The 16,657-nt window shown below is 54.3% G+C and overlaps 1 protein-coding gene, 1 long non-coding RNA gene and 1 other non-coding gene across 6 annotated transcripts in view, besides 11 other annotated features; 1 reads left to right on the top strand and 2 right to left on the bottom strand.

The window, feature by feature from the left end:
* TRAF2 (TNF receptor associated factor 2) overlaps window positions 1-10,256 on the bottom strand; it is a 44,650-nt gene extending 34,394 nt beyond the window's left edge. Inside the window, exons 1-2 of one of the 4 annotated variants that reach the window (XM_011518976.4) lie at window positions 10,181-10,256; window positions 9,504-9,547 (exon numbers count right to left, since the gene is read on the bottom strand). The gene's annotated coding sequence lies outside the window, so the exon portion shown is untranslated. Of the gene's footprint in view, window positions 1-1,671; window positions 1,866-2,477; window positions 2,545-5,672; window positions 5,699-5,934; window positions 5,958-9,503; window positions 9,548-10,180 lie in introns of those variants that run through there. The other 3 variants (XM_047423829.1, XM_011518977.3, NM_021138.4) reach the window with 3 other exon arrangements.
* Window positions 4,266-5,001: an enhancer, noted in NCBI's record as "H3K27ac-H3K4me1 hESC enhancer chr9:139781665-139782400 (GRCh37/hg19 assembly coordinates)". NCBI's record gives its function as "activates a minimal SCP1, AML or CMV promoter by ChIP-STARR-seq in naive H9 embryonic stem cells {active_cell/tissue: H9 hESC(naive)}" and the evidence as "EXISTENCE:reporter gene assay evidence [ECO:0000049][PMID:30033119]".
* Window positions 5,002-5,737: an enhancer, noted in NCBI's record as "H3K27ac-H3K4me1 hESC enhancer chr9:139780929-139781664 (GRCh37/hg19 assembly coordinates)". NCBI's record gives its function as "activates a minimal SCP1, AML or CMV promoter by ChIP-STARR-seq in naive H9 embryonic stem cells {active_cell/tissue: H9 hESC(naive)}" and the evidence as "EXISTENCE:reporter gene assay evidence [ECO:0000049][PMID:30033119]".
* Window positions 5,002-5,923: a biological region, named in NCBI's record as "H3K27ac-H3K4me1 hESC enhancer GRCh37_chr9:139780929-139781664".
* Window positions 5,114-5,923: a silencer, noted in NCBI's record as "silent region_20559". NCBI's record gives its function as "represses an Ori minimal core promoter by ATAC-STARR-seq in GM12878 lymphoblastoid cells {active_cell/tissue: GM12878}" and the evidence as "EXISTENCE:reporter gene assay evidence [ECO:0000049][PMID:35858748]".
* On the bottom strand, window positions 5,411-5,481 carry MIR4479 (microRNA 4479). The gene has a single exon (NR_039697.1). It is a non-coding gene; the product is annotated as a microRNA 4479 (primary transcript).
* LOC105376326 (uncharacterized) lies at window positions 5,960-7,434 on the top strand. Its single transcript, XR_930448.2, has 3 exons — window positions 5,960-6,116; window positions 6,864-6,921; window positions 7,080-7,434. It is a non-coding gene; the product is annotated as an uncharacterized LOC105376326 (long non-coding RNA).
* Window positions 6,144-6,273: a silencer, noted in NCBI's record as "silent region_20558". NCBI's record gives its function as "represses an Ori minimal core promoter by ATAC-STARR-seq in GM12878 lymphoblastoid cells {active_cell/tissue: GM12878}" and the evidence as "EXISTENCE:reporter gene assay evidence [ECO:0000049][PMID:35858748]".
* Window positions 9,311-9,750: an enhancer, noted in NCBI's record as "active region_29334". NCBI's record gives its function as "activates an Ori minimal core promoter by ATAC-STARR-seq in GM12878 lymphoblastoid cells {active_cell/tissue: GM12878}" and the evidence as "EXISTENCE:reporter gene assay evidence [ECO:0000049][PMID:35858748]".
* Window positions 9,781-9,850: an enhancer, noted in NCBI's record as "active region_29333". NCBI's record gives its function as "activates an Ori minimal core promoter by ATAC-STARR-seq in GM12878 lymphoblastoid cells {active_cell/tissue: GM12878}" and the evidence as "EXISTENCE:reporter gene assay evidence [ECO:0000049][PMID:35858748]".
* Window positions 9,871-10,000: an enhancer, noted in NCBI's record as "active region_29332". NCBI's record gives its function as "activates an Ori minimal core promoter by ATAC-STARR-seq in GM12878 lymphoblastoid cells {active_cell/tissue: GM12878}" and the evidence as "EXISTENCE:reporter gene assay evidence [ECO:0000049][PMID:35858748]".
* Window positions 10,051-10,240: an enhancer, noted in NCBI's record as "active region_29331". NCBI's record gives its function as "activates an Ori minimal core promoter by ATAC-STARR-seq in GM12878 lymphoblastoid cells {active_cell/tissue: GM12878}" and the evidence as "EXISTENCE:reporter gene assay evidence [ECO:0000049][PMID:35858748]".
* Window positions 11,236-11,285: an enhancer, noted in NCBI's record as "active region_29330". NCBI's record gives its function as "activates an Ori minimal core promoter by ATAC-STARR-seq in GM12878 lymphoblastoid cells {active_cell/tissue: GM12878}" and the evidence as "EXISTENCE:reporter gene assay evidence [ECO:0000049][PMID:35858748]".
* Window positions 11,406-11,455: a silencer, noted in NCBI's record as "silent region_20557". NCBI's record gives its function as "represses an Ori minimal core promoter by ATAC-STARR-seq in GM12878 lymphoblastoid cells {active_cell/tissue: GM12878}" and the evidence as "EXISTENCE:reporter gene assay evidence [ECO:0000049][PMID:35858748]".

Genomic DNA, 16,657 nt, shown 5'->3' with positions numbered 1-16,657 from the left:
GGGATTACAGGCGTGAGCCACCGCGCCTGGCCTTAAACCACATTCTTTAGGACAAAATCCTATTTTATACTTATTATAAGATGTTAAATAGGATATAAAATGTGAAGAACCCTATGAGTGCAGTCATGCCAGTGTACGAATGGGGCAAGAAAGTAAAATAAAGGATCGTTTTGCTAGGGTAGACAGATTCAGAATGGGCCGGGCACGGTGGCTCATGCCTGTAATCCCAGCACTTTGGGAGGCTGAGGCGGGTGGATCACCTGAGGTGGTGATCGAGACCAGCTTGACCAACATGGAGAAACCCATTTCTACTAAAAACACAAAATTAGCCGAGTGCAGTGGCTCACGCCTGTAATTCCAGCTACTTGGGAGGCTGAGGCAGGAGAATCGCTTGAACCTGGGAGGCAGAGGTTGCAGAGAGTCAAGATCGCACCACTGCTCTCCAGCTTGGGCACAAAGAGCGAAACTTCGTCTCAAAAAAAAAAAAAAGATTCAGGGTGAGCGTTCTTTTTTCCCAATGTCACTGAAGAGTGTCCTGGTGCATCTTTCAGACAAAGCTTGATTCTTTTCATATCGACATTCCTCCTAAATGCGCTCTTGAAGGTGGAGACAGAGGTGTGCCCTCCCTGCCCTAGGCATGCCTGTCAGACATAAAAGAACCACAAAAATGGGCCAGGCATGGTGGCTCACACCTATAATCCCAGCACTTTGGGAGGCCGAGGTAGGCAGATTGCTTGAGCTCAGGAGTTCAAGACCAGCCTGGGGAACATGATGAAACCCTGTCTCTACCAAAAACACAAAAAAATGGCTGGGCGCGGTGGCTCACACTTGTAATCCCAGCACTTTGGGAGGCCGAGGCGGGCGGATCATGAGGTCAGGAGTTCAAGACCAGGCTGGCCAACATGGTGAGACCCCGTCTCCACTAAAAATACAAAAAATTAGCCAGGCATGGTGGTGCAAGCCTGTAAGCCCAGCTACTCCAGAGGCTGAGGCAGAAGAATCGCTCAAACCTGAGAGGCGGAGGTTGCAGTGAGCTGAGATCATGCCACTGCACTCCAGCCTGAGCAAGAGCAACCATCTGTCTCAAAAACAAAACACACATAAAAAAACAAATCTAAAAATACAAAAAATGGCCAAGTGTGATGGCATGCATCTGTGGTCCCAGCTACTCAGGAGGCCGAGGTGGGAGGATCTCGCATCTGTGGTCCCAGCCACTCAGGAGGCTGAGGTGGGAGGATCACCTGAGCCTGGGGAGGAGGAGGCTGCAGTGAGCCGAGGTTCACAACAAAGTGCACGTCCTCCACCACCGGCAGACGCTTCTCACAGACACGGCCTCACGTGGCCATCGTGACATCCTGACACGGCTGGAAGGTCGGGGATCATTATTCCTGTTTCCAAATGAAAACACAACCCCAGACAGCCAGGACACGGCAGGCAGCCCGGTCAGGGGACCCTGAGGTCCCACTGATGCCCACACTACACTCTGGGGTTCTTTGTGCTTAGAGATTCCTTAAACATTTTATTTGAATCTCATTCATAAATACATTTTAAGAACTAATGAAAACCACCACGAAGGCTCAAAAGTGCTACACCAAGATTTTAGCACACTTCTGACAGTGCCCCAATTTGCGCACATGTTGGAATCCGACTTCCACTGTGCCTAGCACTTACCAGAACCTCCTCCGGCTTAGACTAGGGAGCTCTCAGTGGCCTACACACGAGGCAGGAGGAACTGAACTGAACACCATGGTCACCTGAACCAGACACACAGACTGAGACCTGGTGCGCGGCCGGACGGCATGGGCTGCTCTTGCTTTCTGTACGTATCATAAGAGACGTGAGGGGTCAGCTAGGAGCGATTCAACCTGGAAACGAACAATGTGCTGCTGGTTTTTTCAGGCTTCCAGATCAGTTTTACTCTAAAACTCCCAATTCTATCAGCTAAGTCAGCTAAAAACAAAAGTGCCACCCCCGTGGTGACCAGCTGAACGAGCGTGTGGTGGGGACTCTCACACATGCGGTGACCGACTGAACGAGCGTGCGGTGGGGACTCTCACACACACGGTGACCGGCTGAACGAGCGTGCAGTGGGGACTCACACGCGGTGACCGGCTGAACAAGCGTGCGGTGGGGACTCACACACGCGGTGACCGGCTGAACGAGCGTGCGGGGGGGACTCACACACGCGGTGACCGGCTGAACGAGCGTGCGGTGGGGACTCTCACACACGCGGTGACCGGCTGAACGAGCGTGCGGTGGGGACTCTCACACACGCGGTGACGAGCTGAACAAGCATGCGGGGGTGATTATCACACATGCGGTGACCGACTGAATGAGCATGCGGGGATGACTGTCACAAATGTAGTGACCGACTGAATGAGCATGCAGGGGCGACTCTCACACAAGTGGTGACCGACTGAATAAGTGTGGGGGGAACTCTCACACATGCGGTGACCAACTGACACAGTGGCTTGCACCTGTAATCCCAGCTACTTGGGAGGCTGAGGTTGGAGGATCACTTCAGGCCAGGAGTTCGAGACCAGCCTGGGAAACATAACAAGACCTCAGGTATAAAAATAAAATAACAAAAAAGTTAAAATGGCAAAGAAATGTCAAAAACAGGTTTTAAGGCCGGGCAAGGTGGCTCATACCTGTAATCCCAGCACTTTGGGAGTGCCAAGGCAGGTGGATCACCTGAGGTCAGGAGTTCGAGACCAGCCTCACCAAAGTGGAGAAACCCTGTCTCTATTAAAAACACAAAAATTAGCCGGGCATTATGGTGGGTGCCTGTAATCCCACCTACTCTGGAGGATGAGGCAGGAGAATCACTTGAACCTGGGAGGCAGAGGTTGCAGCGAGCCGAGATCGCACCATTGCACTCCAGCCTGGGCAACAAGAGCGAAACTCTGTCTCAAAAAAAGAAAAAAAAAGGCCAGGCGTGGTGGCTCACACCGGGGGACAGAGCGAGACTCCGTCTCAAAAAAAAAAAAAAAACAGAAAAAACCACACAAACAAAAAAAGAAAAACAAACAAACAAGTTTTAACGTAAAAAAGCCCCTCAGTGGTGGCTCACACCTGTAATCCCAGCACTCTGGGAGGCCGAGGTGGGCGGATCACGAGATCAGATCGAGACCACCCTGGCTAACATGGTGAAACCCCGTCTCCATTAAAAATACAAAAAATTAGCTGGGCGTGGTGGCGGGTGCCTGTAGTCCAGCTACTCGGGAGGCTGAGGCAGAAGAATAGCGTGAACCCAGGAGGCAGAGGTTGCAGTGAGCCGAGATCGTGCCACTGCACTCCAGCCGGGTGACAGAGCGAGACTCCCCTCCACAGGAGAGTGGGGGCATCTGGCACCCTTGTTGCTGGTAGGGCCGAGCTGTGTGTTCCCTTCACAATGGGACACCCCCACAAGAAATCAGAGGCCTTCACTAAGCTGGAGTCATCAGGCAGCTGAGACCTGGCATCCTGACTCTGGTGTGTGAACATGGTTTGGTGGCATCGGTGACTCTCAAAAGGACAAGCTGTATTGTTACACAAGTCAAACACTGCCCAAACCATGACATCAAATCAGATATGGGTGCAACCTGGCCGCTGCAGGGGTCACCTAGTCGCCGCAAACGCTTGGGTTCAACCCAGGCCTCGCCCTTCTCACAAGCAGACTCCAAGATGCCCCAAATGCTGGAGATTCAAACCTCAATTCATGTCTCCACCAACAGCACACAACTGCTTCATACAATACTGGACTCCACGTAAGAGTTCACTGGGTGGCACCCGATTCTTTTTGAGATGGAGTCTCGCTCTGTCACCCAGGCTGGAGTGCAGTGGCGCGATCTCGGCTCACTGCAAGCTCCGCCTCCCGGGTTCACGCCATTCTCCTGCCTCAGCCTCCGGAGTAGCTGGGACTACAGGCGTCAATGGCACCTGATTCTAACCCACTTCTATAAAAGCTCATCTGAGTAATATTCAGGAACACTGATCTGCATGCAGCCATGAATATGAGGCCCTCCAAATACTAGAAGTTAACTTTAAAACTGTAATTTCATGGCCGGGCGCGGTGGCTCATGCCTGTAATCCTAGCACTTTGGGAGGCCGAGGCGGGTGGATCACCTAAGGTCAAGAGTTTGAAACCAGCCTGGCCAACATGATGAAACCCTATCTCTACTAAAAATACAAAAAATTAGCCGGGCGTGGTGGTGCACGCCTGTAATCCCAGCTGCTCGGGAGGCTGAGGCAGAAAAATCGCTTGAACCCAGGAGGCGGAGGCTGCAGTGAGCCGAGATCGAGCCACTGCACTCCAGCCTGGGCAACAAGACCAAAACTATCTCAAAAAATAAATAAATAAAATTACAATTTTATATGTAACCCCATCTTTTTCAGGCTCAAAATAATACCAAATAGAAGCTTGATAACAACCTAAACTCTTAACAACTGTTTATACAAAAGTATCAGAAGCAAGCGTGGTAGAAGAGGAGATCTTGAACCTTACAAGTGTCCACCCATTAATACATTCAGTTCCTCTTATTAAAAACTAGGGCTATTAACAGGGAGAGAGACTGAGTTACAGGGCAGTAATTCCGTCCCTTCAAAATCATGTGGCCACAGAGCAGGGTCCGTTCTCAGTCCTAGTTTCCCTTGACTTGACCCAGACCAGACTCCCTCCTCCTCCGAGCCCCGTCTTCACCGGCTGCCAGACACCCCACCCCCTGTCGGCCCTACACCGAGTGGAGGCTTGGTGCTCTTCTGCACTGACCCTCAGCCCTCGGGGCCTCAAAATGACAACTCCAAAATACCCAGCTCTGGCCCTGACCGTTCCCCTGACCCCAGGCTGCCCATCTGGCCGCCTCCCGAGAGGCCATGGGCGCTGTGACTCCTTCATCTTGGCCTAGGAAGCACCAGCCTTCAGCTGCTCACGCCAGATTCTTGCAGACATTGCAACTCCTCTTTTTCTCGGCTCTACCTTCCACAAACATCCCCTGCTACTGCCAGGACCAGGCCCCGGCCCCGATCCCGGCCCGGTCCACCGCAGCCCATCCCCGCACTGGCTCCTTGCTGCCCCCGACCCTCCCAGCAGCCAGAGGGACTTTTCACCCAGGCTCAGCCTGGGTCTCCCCAGCCACTGGGCAGGAAGGCAGCAGAGTCGGCTCCGCCCCCAGCCTCACTGGTCTTCCCCGACCCCTGGCTGGGGGGCGCTGGCAAACTCAGGGGTCGGAGGCGCCCCTGACCCTCCCGAGCACGCAGCCGGCTGAGGGTGCGGGGCTTCGGGGACACGAGGGGCCCACAGCTGAGCGTGGAGGGGCGACAGGGTGCGGGGGAGCGACGGACCCGGGACGGGGCAGGGCCGGGTGGGCCGCCCACGGGCCTCAGGCGGTACTGGGAGCCGCGACCCCGCGCAAAACCCCGGACCGTGCCCTGGCGCTGCTCCGAGCACGGCCGCGCGCGTTCCCGAACTTTCCCGCGCCAGCCACGCTCGGACTTGGTTTCCGGCCCAGCGGCTCAGAGAAATCCCCTCGGGCTGGCCCCGCCCCCGCCCCGCGGCCTCTCCCGCCCCCGCTCCCGCTCCGGCCCGGAGTCTCCCTGAGAGGTGCCCGCGCCTGCGCCCGACCCCGCGCCCGACCCCGCACCCGACCCCGCGCCCGCGCCCGACCCCGCACCCGACCCCGCGCTCGCCTCACCCAACGGTCGCAGCGCGCCCGGAACTAAGGGCCCGCCCAGCTACCGCCCCCAACGCCGCCGCCGCCGCCGCCGCTCCGCCGCGTGCGCCTGACGGACGGACATGGGAGCCAACCAGCCAGCCCTCAGGAAGCTGTAGCGAGAGCCATTGGCCAGATACGCCCCGCTCCGAGCGCGCCTGACGGACTGACGCCGGAGCCAACCAGCGAGCCCGCAGGAGCCGCAGCGTGCGCCGATTGGTCGGCGCTGAGACGGCGTGGGTACCTAAGTCGCCCTCTGCTTTTTCCTCAAAGAGCGCGCCGGGGCGTTGGTGCGGGGAGCTGGTGAGGTGCTGCGCTGTGGGGTCCGCGCTAATTGGGTCCCTTCCCCAGGTGCGGCGAGACAGCGAGGCCCTTGCTTCCCCTCCCGTGGCCCCGGGGCGGAGACCCCTGCCGCACACCCGAGAGGTGAGCCGGGAGCCCAAGCCGGGCGACACCGGTTCCCACGAGGCGCGCGTCGCGCGCGGGACGCGGGGCCCTGGCGGGGCGGCCGCACCTACCCGACACCTGCGGGTCCCTCCGCCTCCCCCGGTGCCGGGCGCAGAGCGGCGCCTCAATTTGGGTAACATTTATGAGAAACAGGACTAAAAGAATACTGCACACTTAAGTAAGGTATTAAGGCTATGGGGTCTCCTTTTGGGGTGAGGTAATGCTCTGCAACCGGACAGTGGTGACGGCCGCCCGACATGGCCGGTGTGCTAATCTACTGGGTTGTGCACTTTATTTATTTTTTTTTTTGAGACGGAGGCTCACTCTGTCGCCCAGGCTGGAGTTCAGTGGCGCGATCTCGACTCACTGCAACCTCCGCCTCCCGGGTTCAAGCGATTCTCCTGCCTCAGCCTCCCGAGTAGCTGGGACTACAGGCGCCCGCCATCACGCCCGGCTAATGTTTGTATTTTTGATAGAGACGAGGTTTCACCATGTTGGCCAGGCTGGTCTTGAACTCCCGACCTCAAGTGAAAACACAACCTATGGCCTCCAGACACTCAAATGAAAACAGTGGCCTTGGCGGCCAAAACAGGGGCTGCCCTAGGAGTCCTGTGGGCTGCATGGGGGAGGCGGCACTGTCATCTGCCCAGGAGAACGGGAGCTGCAGCAGGTTCTCTCTGGCGGTGCACGGGCTAGCACTGGACACACCACCCCCTCTCCATCCAGCCTTTGGTGAAATGGAGACCTTTCACCCCGCTTTGCAGAGAAGGAAACGTTCACGGAGGTAAGTCTCCTCCAAGCATTCAGACCCTGAGACCACGGGACTCCTCAAGGATGGAATACACTGCAAAACAGGGCAGGCTTTGAAGTTGCATAATTTACACAGGCCACGCTGTCCCCAGGCGCCAATGCCACATTTCATATATGTTACTTGGTTTGCAGTTGGAATTCCCCTCCGCCCCAAACCCACATTCCTGGGACAGCAAGGCCTTGAGATGGAACTCAGGAAGCCATCGGATTCCATCAACGTCATCACCCCTGAGTTTGCTGCAAGCAGCCATGGAAACGTCCCAAGTCCGCACCTGCAGGCTCAGTGAGGTTGCTCAAGCCCAGGAACTAACTGAGCTCTCAAACGTAAGAAGGCGTCTCCTCCTGGCTGCACCTGGGAGGCTCAAAGCTGTCCTGAGTCTGCAGCAGCCAGCTCGGGATGAGAAAGGGTTCACGTGGCAGTTCATGCCTATAATCCCAGCACTTTGGGAGGCTGAGGCAGGAGGACCGCTTGAGCCCATGAGTTCGAAACCAGCATGGGCAGCATGGGGGAACCCCATCTCTACCAAAAAAAGGAAAAAAAATTTAGCTGGGTGTGGTGCTGCACACCTGTAGTCCCAACTGCTTGGAAGGCTGAGGCAGGAAGATGACTGAAGCTCAGGAGGTGGAGGTTGCAGTGAGCTGTGGTTGCACCACTGCACTCCAGGCTGCGCTATAGAGTGAGACCCTGTCTCTTTTTTTTCTTTTTTGAGACGGTGTCTTGCTCTGTCACCCAGGCTGGAGTGCAGTGGTGCGATCTCGGCTCACTGCAACCTCTGCCTCCCGGGTTCAAGAAATTCTCCTGCCTAAGCCTCCGGAGTAGCTGGGACTACCGGCGCACACCGCTACGCCCGGCTAATTTTTTTTGTATTTTAGTAGAGACGGGGTTTCACCGTGTTGCTCAGGCTGGTCTCGAACTCCTGAGCTCAGGCAATTGCCTGCCTCGGCCTCCCAAAGTGCTAGGATTACAGGCATGAGCCACTGCGCCTGGCTGACCCTGTCTCTTTTAAAAAAGAAAAAACAGCCAGGCACGGCGGCTCATGCCTGTAATCCCAGCACTTTGGGAGGCCTAGGCGAGCAGATCACCTGAGGTCAGGAGTTTGAGACCAGACTGGCCAACATGGTGAAACCTCGTCTCTACTAAAAAAATACAAAAGGCCGGGCGCGGTGGCTCACCCCAGCACTTTGGGAGGCCGAGGTGGGCAGATCATGAGGTCAAGAGATCGAGACCATTCTGGCCAACATGTTGAAACCCTGTCTCTACTAAAAGTACAAAAATTAGCTGGGCATGGTGGTACGCGCCTGTACTCACAGCTACTCAGGAGACTGAGTAGGCAGGAGATTCACTTGAACCCGGGAGGCGTAGGTTGCAGTGAGCCGAGATTGCGCCACTACACTCCAGCCTGGCGACAGAGCAAGAATCCATCTCAAAAAAAAAAAAAAATACACAAAAGGCCCGGCACAGTGGCTCATGTTTGTAATCCCAGCACTTTGGGAGGCTGAGGTGGGTGGATCACCTGAGGTCAGGGGTTCAAGACCAGCCTGGCCAACGTGGTGAAACCCTGTCTCTACTAAAAATACAAAAATCAGCTGGGCATGGTGGCAGATGCCTGTAATCCCAATTACTCAGGAGGCTGAGGCAGGAAAATCACTTGAACCTGGGAGGCAGAGGTTGCAGTGAGCCGAGATTACGCCACTGCATTCCACCCTGGGTGACAGAGCAAGACTCCATCTCAAAGAAAAAAGAAGGGGTTCACCTGTTTTAGGACACTCTACTTCCTTCAGGGTAACGGGAAAGTCATTCTAACAGCTTTCAGACAGTGGCCTCCAACATGGGGTGACACACCTCACTGGTCCTGGATGATGACAGTGTTGAAGGGCTGAGTCTGAGACCACCTCAGCCCCACCCCAAGTCCAGAAAAGGTTTCCCAAGCTTGGCAAATGCCCACAGCCCTCGAGAGCAGGTAGTGACCAGGATGACTGCCCCGTGCCGCCCAGTCTCAGAGTACTTGCCCCAGTGCTGCTCTCATGAAAATGCCTTTGTTTAATTTATACTGCTCTGTTTCCAGAAGATTGGCACAGACACGTAAAAAAAAAACTGGCTGGGCATGGTGGCTCACGCCTGTAATCCCGGCACTTTGGGAGGCTGAGGTGGGCAGATCACCTGAGATCAGGAGTTCAAGACCAGCCTGGCCAAGGTGGTGAAACCCCGTCTCTACTAAAATACAAAAATTAACTGAACATGATGGCAGGTGCCTGTAATCCCAACTACTCAGGAGGCTGAGGCAGGAAAATCGCTTGAACCTGCGAGGCGGAGGTTGCAGTGAGCCAGGATTGCGCCACTGCACTCCATCCTGGACGACAGAGCAAGACTCTGTCTAATAATATTGATTGTGATGACAGGCCTGTAAGGCATAGCAAGTTGATACCAGCCTGACTGAGAGGCAGAGGCACACACTGATTGGGAAGCGGCCTCCCCACCCCGCCCACCAGCTTGGAAGCTGTGACACCTTGGCCTGGGGACTCGCCTTGTTTGCTGGCTGGAAAGGGGTGACTCACTCTGGCCATGGCGCAGCTCAGGGGATTCCCACGTGGGCTCCTTCCTGCCGAAAAGAAAGCAAAAGTCAGCCACCCAGGCCTCCAGCAGGGGCAGGGGGAGGGTATGTCCCCGGGCAGTCTCAGGAGAAGCCCCAGCACCCTCTCACTGCCTGAGGATGGGGGTTGCAGGAGCAGGAAGGAGGGCAGCAGTTGGAACCTGGAGATGGACACATGCAGCTGCTGTCCTGGGCTCCGTGTCCTGACGAGGGTGCCAGTGTCCCTGGAGGGGCGGCATGACCATGGACCACAGCAGATGCTGCCGTGGATGCCAGCCACTCACTGGCCTGGCCAGGGAGGACCCCACAGCTACCTACTGGGCCTGCAGAGCACGGGAGGTGAGGGGCCGCCATGCCACTGGCATCTGCCCTGTGCCCAGCAGGGCTCTGTGGATGCATCTGAAATCCAGCGGCTGCGTCTGCCCTCTGTGCCCAGCAGGGCTCTGTGGATGCTTGGCTTCCCTTGGGCGTGGTTGGCACCCTTGAAGGCTCACACCTCATGTCCTTTTACTCAGGTCTTGGGACGACAGAGCCCAGCTTGCACATGGAGCCAGGAGGCAGAATGTCCAAGCTGGGCCCCCCACGGGACCATGAACAAGGGACCCTTGTGTGCCTGGTGCTGTCCCCAGGGGAAGTGCCCACCTCAAATAGCCGCAGTCCACTTGCTCACACCGAGAGCTTGCCTCTTTTTCAGACGTTTGCATGTCAGCCCTGTGCTGCAGCCTCCGAGGGAAGCTGGTTTCACTCTCACTCTGCAGTCATCTGACAGGAGTGTTTCCAGGAAGGCAGCCGCAGCTCCGGGCCAGAGTCCCCTGCAGCAGCCCCAGCCCTGGCCTCACCCCCTCAGGCCAGTGCACGGGGCACAGAGGCTCCCTCCTCATCAGCTCCCCAGGGGGGCTCCCCCAGGGCAATCCCTGATAAAAGGACAAAGGCCTGGGGAGGGGTGGGACCTGGAGGGAGGTTTGCTTCAACGCTGGACAGTGGGGAAGCTCTTGTCCTCCAACTCAATGGCATAGAACCTTGGGGGGAATCTGAAGCCCGCCTGTCCAGGGCAAGCCTGGGGCTGGCTGTGGCCAGGAGACCCTCAAGCACATGAACTTGTGCTGTCACACAGCAGCATCCGTGCCAGCAACCGTGGGAAAGAATGGATTTCTGTCAGCTTGTGTTTTCTGTGAACTTGGGAAGGACACACAGGAAAGTAATAGAAGATTCACACCTGTAATCCCAGCACTTTGGGAGGCCAAGGCTGGATCACTTGAGCTCGGGAGTTCAAGACCAGCCTGGGCAATATAGTGAAACCTCCGTCTCTCCAAAAAATGCAAAAATTAGGCCGGGTGTGGTGGCTCACGCCTGTAATCCCAGCACTTTGGGAGGCTGAGGCAGGCAGATCACCTGAGGTTGGGAGTTCGAGACCAACCTGACCAACATGGAGAAACCCCGTTTCTACTAAAAATACAAAAATTAGCCCGGCGTGGTGGTGCACACCTGTAATCCTAGCTACTTGGGAGGCTGAGGCAGGAGAATCACTTGACCCTGGGAGGCAGAGGTTGTGGCTGAGATTGCACCATTGCACTCCAGCCTGGGCAATAAGAGCCAAATTCTGTCTCAAAAAAAAAAAAAAAATAGCCGGGCGTGATGGTGCACGCCTGTAGCCCCAGCTACCTGAGTGGCTGAGGTGGGAGAATTGCTTGAGCCCAGGAGGTTGAGGCTGGAGTGAGCCATGTCTCTGCCCCCGCCTCCTAAGCACCCGCCAGGACCAGTCACCACGGTTGCACTTCACACCCACAAACTCTAGAGGTCTGTGCTCACACTTGGTCCCAGCAACTGTGACCATCTGGCCAAGGCCACCCAACCCTCCACCCAGGATGCTCCAGGTGGCTGGAAGGTCCCCGCCCACCCTGCCACAGCCACATTCTCCCAGCCCTACCGCCACCCTCCCCAGTGGGGCCTCCCACTTTTTTAGCTCTCGCCCCTTGGTCCCGGGACCAGGGCAACTGCGACCATCTGCAACCTCTGCCCCTGGGCCGCCATGTTTCCACCATCCTTCCCTGCTTCCCTGCACACTTCTCCACCTGGCACCTCCCTATGCTGTGCTCACCTGCCAGGGCCCTGCGCTTAGGTCCTTCTAGGTTCCCTCCAACTACCCCCATTCTGCAGCTAGCTGGGCCTAAGGGAAGTTGCTCCCCAGGGTGGGGCGTCACTGCTGGCGGAGAAACCTGGGGATGACCTGGGCCACTGGCTCACTCTCCTGAACCACATCTGCACAACATGCCCGTTAAAAAAAAAAAAGCTGCTGCCATCCCAGCAATTTGGGAGGCCAAGGCGGGCGGATCATGAGGTCAGGAGTTCAAGACCAGCCTGACCAACATGGTGAAATCCTGTCTCTACTAAAAATACAACATTTAGCCGGGCATGGTGGCACGCAACTGTCATCCCAGCTACTCAGCTGAGGCAGGAGGATCACTTGAGCCCGGGAATCTGAGACCAGCCTGGGCAACATGGCAAAACCCCATCTCTACAAACAATACAAAAATTAGCCCAGAATGGTGGTATGCACCTGTAGCCTAAGCTACTAGGGAGGCTGAGGTGAGAGGATCACCTAAGCCTGGGGAGGTCAAGGCTGCAGTGAGCTCTGGTTGCAGTGTGTGCACCACTGCACTCCAGCCTGGGCAACAGAGCAAGACCCTGTCTCAAAAATAAAAAAATACGCTAAATAAACTTTACAATACAAAAGCGGTGGATTAAAATTTCCATTACCGGCTGGACACGGCTCACGCCTGTAATCCCAGCACTTTGGGAGGCTGAGGCAGGTGGATCACTTGAGGCCAGGAGTTTGAGACCAGCCTGGCCAACATGGTGAAAACCCATCTCTACTAAAAATACAAAAAATTAGCCAGGTGTGGTGGCTCACGCTTATAGTCCCAGCTACTCTGGAGGCTGAGGCACAGGAGTCACTTGAACCTAGGAGGCGGAGGTTGCAGTGAACCACGATCGCACCACAGCACCCCAGCCTGGGTGGCGAGCAAAACTCTGTTTCAAAAATAAATAAATAAATAAATAAATAAATACTAATATGATGGTATAAGTACCCTTTACCCCTTGCTTTTGGAAAAATATGTTAATGTAATGGACATTTTTTGTTGTTGTTGTTTTTGAGATGGAGTCTCGCTTCTTCGCCCAGGCTGGAGTGCAATGGCACAATCTCAGCTCACTGCAATCTCCGTCTCCCGGGTTTAAGTGATTCTCCTGCCTCAGCCTCCCAGGATTACAGGCACATGCCAGCATGCCCGGCTAATTTTTGTATTTTTAGTAGAGACAGGGTTTCACCATGTTGGCCAGGCTGGTCTCGAACGCCTGACCTCAACTGATCCTCCCACCTCGGCCTCCCAAAGTGCTGAGATTACAGGCATGAGCCACGGCACCCGGCTGTAATGGACGTTTTCTAACCAGATGTAGTGGTATGCACCTGTAGTCCCAGGTGCTTGGAAGGCTGAGGCAGGAGGATGGCTTGAGCCCAGGAGTTCAAGGCTGCTGTGAGCTATTACTGTGCCACTGTACTCCAGTCTGGGTGACAGAGCGATATTCTGTCCCTGCAAAAAAAAAAAAAAAAAAGTAATGGAAATTTTTTTTTTTTTTCCTCTGAGACAGAGTCTCGCTCTGTGGCCCAGGCTGGAGTGCAGTGGCATGATCTTGGCTCACTGCAACCTCTGCTTCCCAGGTTCAAGCAATTCTCCAGCCTCAGCCTCCTGAGTAGCTGGGACTACAGGTGTGAGCCATCACGCCTGGCTAATTTTTTGTATTTTTAGTAGAGACGGGTTTTCACCATGTTGGCCAGGCTGGTCTCAAACTCCTGGCCTCAAGTGATCTGCCCGCCTCAGCCTCCCTAAGTGCTGGGATGACAGACGTGAGCCACCAAACCCCACCTCATTCAGCTAAGTTTTTTTTTTTTTTTTTAAGTTTGCAGTAGAGATGGAGTCTTACTGTGTTGCCCAGGCTGGTCTTGAACTCCTGAGCTCAAGCAGTCCTCCTGCCTTGGCCTCCCAAAGTCCTGGGTTACAGGTGTGAGCCACTGCCTGGCCAACATATTGGGTTTTTTTTGTTGGTTTTTTGTTTGTTTGTTTGAGACGGAGTTCTGTTCTTTTTGCCTAGGCTGGAGTGCAATGGTGAGATCTCGGCTCACTGCAACCTCCGCCTCCTGGGTTCAAGCGATTCTCCTGTCTCAACCTCCCAAGTAGCTGGGATTACAGGGCCTGCCACCACACCCAGCGATTTTGTATTTTTAGTAGAGATGGGGTTTCACCGTGTTGGTCAGGCTGGTCTTGAACTCCTGACCTCAGGTGATCCACCTGCCTCAGCCTCCCAAAGTGCCGGGATTATAGGTGTAAGCCAAACCTATTGGTTTTTTGTATTAATTAATGATAACATTATAGTCCAGTTTCTGGCTTTGAGGTTTTTTTTGCTTTTTTTTTTTTGAGATGGAGTCTCGCTCTGTCGCCCAGGCTGGAGTGCGGTGGCACGATCTCAGCTCACTGCAAGCTCCGCCTCCCAGGTTCACACCATTCTCCTGCCTCAGCCTCCCGAGTAGCTGGGACTACAGGCGCCCGCTACCACGCCCGGCTAATTTTTTTTTTTTTTGGTATATTTTAGTAGAGACAGGGTTTTACTGTGTTGGCCAGGATGGTCTCGATCTCCTGACCTCGTGATCCGCCCGCCTCGGCCTCCCAAAGTGCTGGGATTACAGGTGTGAGCCACCGCGCCCGGCATGGCTTTGAGTTTTAACATCTGCAAGTTTGACAACTTTGTCAAAATTGATCTTTTTCTTGTTGTCATGATACTCCAGCTATGTTTATCCACCTATTTTTCCTCATGGTCAACCAGAAAACACTTTTTATTCACTTGAATTTAGAAAATTGTCTTTCACTTAAAGCCACAGATACACAAAGGTAGGAAGAACCTTGACCACAGGACATAGTGTTTGGTTTATAAAACTCCCACTTCACAGGACATTCTAGACATTGTGATTCTGTCTGTGTCTTTGTTTTTTTAAGGTGATCCTAGTGACATTCAGATCTCTCTGCAGTCAAAATAATTGTAAATTCAAATGAAAACTCCCAAGTGGCCCCACACGGTGATGATTATACAACTAATGTCCTGTTTTGCTGTCGAAGACAGGAGCCAGGCCGGTCACGGTGGCTCACGCCTATTATCCCAGCACTTTGGGAGGCCAAGGCATGTGGGTCACCTGCAGTCAGGAGTTCAAGACCAGCCTGGCCAACGTGGTGAAACCCCGTCTCTGCTAAAAATACAAAAATTACCCAGGTGTGTTGGCGGGCACCTGTAATCCCAGCTATGTGGGAGGCTGAGGCAGGAGAATTGCTTGAACCCAGGAGGCGGGCGTTGCAGTGAGCCGAGATTGCACCATTGCACTCCAGCCTGGGTGACAGAGGGAGCTACTGGGAAGGCAGAGGCATGAGAATCACTTGAACCCAGGAGGCGGAGGAGGTTGCAGTGAGCTGAGATGGCACCACTGCACTCTAGCCTAGGAGACAGAGCAAAACTCTGCCTCAAAAAAAAAAAAAAAAAAAAAAAAAAAAAAAAAGGGGAGCAAGTTGTGCCGACAGTGGACAGAGAGGCCTTGGGAGCTGCTGCACAGCAGGGCTGCCTACTGGGGCTTAAGCCTCCAGAACTGTCTGGGACCCCCAGAACTTCCCCTCATCAGCCAGCACAGCCAGGCGACTTTCCCCTCCTCACTCCCACAGCAGGCAGGAGACAGTGGATCTGGGGGCCCTCCAGCCTCAGGGGCACCAGGCTCAGCTCTTCTCCCTTGGCTCGCTGGAGGCTGGCAGTGGGGAGGCCACTTCCCCATGGGTGGGACCATGTTGCTCTCTAGGACCCCAGTAGAAATGGCCGTGTCCCACCCCATCATCCTGCAGTGGAATTAATAATGGAAAGTCCCGCCGGGCACAGAAGGCTGCTCTGCATGTGGGCTGACCTTAGCAAGGATTGCCAGACACAGGGAAAAAACAGAGCCCTGAACCAAACAAAAGAGCGGAGAGGGAGGGTACAGGCACCAGAGGAGAATGTGAGAAGAACCAAATTAGTAATCTTAGAAGAAAAAAGAGAAGAATTTGTGAAATAGAATGCTATAAAATTCAATGCTATAAAAAGAACTTAAGAGAATGTAAGAGGAGTCAGATGTCGTGGTTCATGCCTATAATCCCAGCTACCTGGGAGGCTGAGGCAGGAGGATCACTGGAGCCCAGGAGGTGGAGGCTGCAGTGAGCCAAGATTGCACCACTGCACACCAATTGGGCAACAGAGCCAGATACCGTATTAGAAAAAGACAAAGGAAAGAGAGAAAGAAAGGAAAGAAAGAAAAAGAAAGAAGGAATATAAGAGGGAGCCCTTCTAAATAAAAAATGTGATATCGAAGTTAAGAAAAATGTTAAGTAGAAAGGTTATACATTGAGGAAATCTCCCAAAATTAGAACAGAAAGAACATGAGTTGAAAAACAGGAAAGACTGGCCAGGCGCGGTGGCTCACGCCTGTAATCCCAGCACTTTGGGAGGCTGAGGTGGGCGGATCACCTGAGGTCAGGAGTTTGAGATGAGCCTGACCAACATGGTGAAACCTCGTCTCTACTAAAAATACAAAAAAATTAGCCAGGCATGGTGGCAGGTGCCTATAATCCCAGCTACTTGGGAGGCTGAGGCAGGAGAATCGCAGAAACCCGGGAAGTGGAGCTTGCAGTGAGCCAAGATTGCGCACTGCACTCCAGCCTGGGCGATAAAGCGGGACTCCGTCTCAAAAAAAAAAAAAAAAAGTTGGTTGGGCATGGTGGCATATGATTGTAGTCCCAGCTACTTGGGAGGCTGAGGCAGGAGGATCACTTGAGCCCAGGAGGTCAAGGATGCAGTGAGCCACAATTGAGCTGCTGCACTCCAACCTGGGAAACAGAGCAAGGCCTTGTCTCAAAAACAGTAATTAAAAAATAAAAATAACAGAAACTGCTACCATCAGACTGGGTGCCAATATGTAATAAGAGAGGAGGGAACGTTTTCTGCCAAAAAGTAGGAAGGACAGATGTCCAGAGAGAGGGCCGCACTGTCTCTGGGTGT

This window comes from Homo sapiens, chromosome 9, assembly GCF_000001405.40.
Source record: "Homo sapiens chromosome 9, GRCh38.p14 Primary Assembly".
NCBI lineage: Eukaryota > Metazoa > Chordata > Mammalia > Primates > Hominidae > Homo > Homo sapiens.
Note: the sequence above shows the minus strand (reverse complement) of the source record. Positions and strands in the feature narration are given on the sequence as shown.